Raw genomic sequence first — 5478 nt, forward strand, 5'->3', positions numbered from 1 at the left:
ATACAATCAGTTGATCTGTAAACCTTACTCAGATTTTGCCAGTTGTTCTAATAATGTCCTTTAGAGTGTGTGTTGCATTCAGTTTTCATATCCCTTTGGCCCTCTCTGCTCTGGAACAGTTTACTAGTCTTCCTTCAAAGTAATACCTATTTACAAGCATCTAGAGTAAAGGAAAGAATCAAAATATTACTGAGGCCACCAGCTTTCCCTTAATTTTTGTAATAGAATTACACACTAACAGAATTTTTACTTGTGTACATGGTCACCCTCTTAAAGACTTCATTTGCAAGATGTGTCCATCACATTTCTCTGGATATGACCATGGGGCTAAAATCTTGGGCAGTTAAGAAGTGAGTAGAAGTAATGTGTACAACTTCTAGATCAAGTCCTTATAGGCAAAGAATGTGTTTTTCCTTTCTCCTATTTTTCATTTTTGCAGTATGTTATAGGATGTGCTGGTGGAAGCAGGAGTGCTCCTTGGAAAGGAGAATGATCAACAAGATATCTCTGATAATTGTGAAGGAATCCTAGCAGCCCTTGGCAGTCTTACCTAATCACCCCCACTCCTCTCAGTCTTCTCTAAAATTTAAGGACTTAAAACAAAACAAAACAAAACATAACTACCATGCCATTATCCCATTTAAGAAAATAAAGTTATTATTTAATATTATCAAATATTCATACCTTGTTTTCTTATTATTTACTTTTAAAAAGTTATATTTAATTTATTTAATTTTATTTCTGCGAAGACAGAGTCTCGCTCTGCCACCTAGGCTGGAGTGCAATGGGGCATGATCATGGCTCACTGCTGCCTCAACCTCCTGGGCTCAAGCAATCCTCCCACCTCAGCCTCCCAAGTGGCTGGGACTGCAGGTGCGTGCCACCACGCCTGGCTAATTATTGTATTTATTGTAAAGACGGGAACTAGTCTCCAACTCCTGCGCTCAAACAATCCACCTGCCTTGGCCTCCCAAAGTGTTGGGGTTCCAGTGTAAGCCATCATGCCTGGCTCTTTGTTTTTTTAAATGAGGAAAAAAAAAATTCTATCTTATATGCGTCATTATGATTTTGGGTTTCTTTCTCACAGCAGCTGTACCAGTAACCTGACCAATGCAATTGTGTAAGCCACCATTTAAGAAGTTGTTCAAATCTCTGGAAGTATTTTTACAAAAGGAGAAAGAGAACACCAAATTTTACAGTATAATAATATAACAATGAGGTGAAGTCATGTAAAAATTTTATATTGCTAATTTTATCAAGACTGAAAAATTTTGCCTCCTTTAGCCTTTTAATTAGCTTTTAAAAATCATTACATTTTTCTCATTTGCATTAATGTCAAAGTGTATTTTTTGTGAAATTACAAGGCAGTTTTTGTTATGCAAATTTAAAGTCTCCTTAGAGGAATTTTTGCTTTAAAGATCTGCCCCTGCAATTTTAGTATATTGGCATCAGGGGGCAGTGGAGTTGCATATGTTCTGAGCAGTCTAGCCTGCATTTCCACTGATGACATTAGTGTGAGTCCCTAAGCTAAACATTGGACAAAAATATGATATGCTTACTTAAAAAAAATGTGATACAAACTGAAGAAAATTGGCCTTACAGAAAATACAAACAAATCATATAATTTTCATGTGTTCTTTAGCATAATGAAGCTAAAACATGATCTTAATGTTAAACTAGCAAAAAGACTTTATTTCCCACTTTCTGATTCTCCTAGAACCATTCTCATTAACATCCCTTTTTCTTAATTGCATTTTTCAAGTAAGGGAGTTCTCTCTCTCTTGTAATCTAGACACGGTTAGTCTTCCTGGTTATCTAAAATGTCCTGAATTTAAACTTTTCTCTTTAGCTTCTTGCAAAAATTATTCTCTTATTCCTAAAATATTGAAGGAAAAGATTGTAAATGGTAGCTCTTTATTAAGATCTGTGTTTATCACTGGTTATACTACATATAGTATTTTGCCACTCAGAATTCTTTCAAAATTTTCCCCTCATATAAGTTAACAGAGTTTGGAAACCTATTGGACCTAATCTGCATACAATCGTTTTTTACTTTATTAACAGTCTTGTTTAGCATCTGGGTTACCAAAGGTAACACCACAAAGAAGACAGAAAATGGAAGTAAAGGGAACAATATTTGAATTAGTTTTTGTTACTTTCATAAAGATAAATCATCTCATGTGATTTGCTTTTTACCACCAATGGGGGCTACAAGAGAGAATGAGAAGGGAATTTTCTACATTTCCCAGTGAAGCTACAAAGAAGCCAGGAACACTTTGGTTCTAAAGCCGGGTGGGGGATAAGTCTGATGAAACTATGTTGCTTGATCTCTTTCCTGTGACTATGTCGCTGTATATGGCATTTAGGGGCATTTCCTCCCTGATGCATTTTATTTGGAATTACCAGTGTCATTTGAACTAGAAATAACCATTATAAATGTTAGGTACACAATTTATGATTTGGTGTTTTGAAATCATTGCATAAATTAGAAAATAAAATCTGTAGCTCTTTGTCCTACCCAGGGGCAAATATGTCCCTGGAAAGTTGCTTCCTGTTACAGGTAGATTTGGACCTAGAGTCCTGTCTAGCTCAGCGTGACCTGGATGTGAGACATAGAGTCAAAGGAGATCATTTTGGAGCTTTAAAATTTGACTTCTCCACTGGATTTTGGACTTGCATGGGCCCTGTAACCACTTTGTTTTGGCCACTTTCTCCCATTTGGAATGGCTGTATTTACCCAATATCTGTACCCCCATTGTATCTAGGAAGTAACTAGCTTGCTTTTGATTTTACAGGCTCATAGGTGGAAGGGACTTGCCTTGTCTCAGACGAGACTTTGGACTGTGGACTTTTAGGTTAATGCTGAAATGAGTTAAGACTCTGGGGGACTGTTGGGAAGGCATGATTGCTTTTGAAATGTGAGGACATGAGATTTGGAGGGGCTAGGGGTAGAATGGTATGGTTTGGTTATGTGTCCTCACCCAAATTTCTTCTTGAATTTTATTCCCATAATTCGCACATGTTGTGGGAGGGACCCGGTGGGAGATAATTTGAATCATGGGGGCGGTTCCCCCATACTGTTCTCGTGGTGGTGAATAAGTCTCATGAGATATGATGAGTTTATCAGGGGTTTCCGCTTTTGCATCTTCCTCATTTTCTCTTGCCACCACCATGTAAGAAGTGCCTTTCGCCCCCTGCCATGATTCTGAGGCTTCCCCAGCCATGTGGAACTGTAAGTCTAATTAAACCTCTTTTTCTTCCCAGTTTTGGGTATGTCTTTATCAGCAGTGGACTAATACACACACACACGTATATATGTATTAATGTAATTTGTAGCTTTATTTATATCAAGGAAATACATAAAAAATGTGACCCAAAATAAAATGAGCTATTTATTCATGAAATATTTATTGAGCACTTACTATACATCTGATGCTGTATTAAGTGATATGACATCAAAGATTTTAAAAATAAGATTTCTACTTCCATGGGGCTCACGGTCTCTTCCATGTAACACATACTTAAAAGGGTATAGAGTAGATTAATGAGAGACTTGAAATATTATTGAGGCTGTCAGTTTTCATTTAATTCTCATTTTTTAAAGGTATGAACCACTGAGCTATATAACACATGCTTAGTCTTTGTTAGAGCTTCTCTTTAATAAAAAGAAGAATTAAGGGAAAACTTCTTAAGTTTGGGACTGAGATTCAGCTAAAATGTGACTCAGACCCTAAAATGGGCAACTTTCTGGAAATAGCAAATCCACTTATAATAGGAAGCAGTTTTCCAGTGACATTTTTTGCCCCTGGGGAGGACAAATTTTGCAAGATTTCCCTACTTTGTTCCCCCCTCCCCACCCAAATTATTTTCCATATGTTAAAACATTCGGACCTCACAACAATGTGAGGCAGTAATGTTTCTATCCTCATTTTGTATATGAGAAAACTGGCATACAGTATGTATTAATAACTTATCCCAAGGTCACATAGCCAGTAAGTGCTAGCCAGGATCTAGACACAGACAGCTGGACTCCAGGATCTGTGCTTTTAACCACTTCTCTATATATTGATGGTCTTGAGTAAGGGGAGAGGGATGGGCTATCTATGACAAAAAACATATCCCTCATTTTGGAATTTCACTGCAATGCATCTAACATGAATTGAGAAATCAACATGACCCGGCAGTGGTTTAGCCACCGGGAACTCAGAGTCCTCAAGAACTTACCATGGAGTAGGGGAGATAGACATATCTACAAATAGCTATAGTGAAAGGCAGAAAGCAATCAGTGCCCTAAGAAGCTGATGCCTTGTCAGCACAAAGGAGGAAGGAAAGATATTTCTTCATGATTTTAGTGATTAGAAAATCTCACCTAGAGATAATTGTTGGTTTGAGTTCTGCTTGTTTTGGATAGAACTTTTGTTGCCCTTTTTATTCGGAATGGGCAATTCTTGGTTTTATTCCTGTTGGATGAGTTTTTTTTTTCCCCCGCCTATTATTTGGGAGTACTACCTATCAACAATCAGGAAATTTATAGATTTGTGCTTAGGCTGACACTTCTGTCTTCAGTCTGATGGTAACTTTATTCAGCAATCTTCTTTCAGCTCAGAGAGTTTCAGGGCACTCACCTAATTGTTGGGTGATTGTAAACTGGTTGATATTAACCATTGCTTAGCTCTTTTTGGGTGGAGGGAGCACCTTTCAGCTGGAGGCCCCAGACCTACCCCGGGACCAGGCACTCACATAATAGGCACTCAGAAGTAAATGTTCATGGAATGAATGAAATGCAAACAATTCACCCTGAGAATGAGGACCCCTCCCTATCTATTTATCATATTGCCTAGTCCAATACACTTTTGACATCCTACACTTTTAATGAGGACAGAAGCGGTTCATTAAATAAATTAACCATTAAGTTGAGAACATGAATGTCAATATAGACACAGGCTGTTAATTTGCTGATCACTGATGCGTCCAGTGCCCAAAGGACCTGAGACCTTGCACGTATTGAAACAGCAGGGGATTGGCACATGGCTGAGACAGACTGGGCCAATATGGAGCTCACACAATTCCACAGAATCATCCAAAATGAAATTCTCTTCCCCCTTGAAAAATGGATGCTCCTTGGCATCAGACTTTGAAAATATCTGTGATTAGGCCCTTCCGTTCCCCTTTGACTGTTTTATTTCCATTTTAAAATAGATTGTACTATTTCTTACTTGTAATTTGGCCTAATGTTGCCTTGAAATAAGAGGGCAATAAAGAAAAGGAGAAGAAATCTTTGATCATCTGTCATACTGTGGAAAATCTGACAGTGACTTCAATTAACAGATGAGACCCCAGAGAATTTCCTAGCCTGATCTTCCCCCAGTCCTCTGTCTAATTGAGTGGAGGAAAACAGCCTTCACTGGGACCTTGGATGGCTGCCGAATGAAGCCATCACGTTTCAGTGAGGCTCAAATCTCTGCCATGCTCCCGGCT

This window comes from Homo sapiens, chromosome 2 (genome assembly GCF_000001405.40).
Source record: "Homo sapiens chromosome 2, GRCh38.p14 Primary Assembly".
NCBI classification, from domain to species: Eukaryota; Metazoa; Chordata; class Mammalia; order Primates; family Hominidae; genus Homo; species Homo sapiens.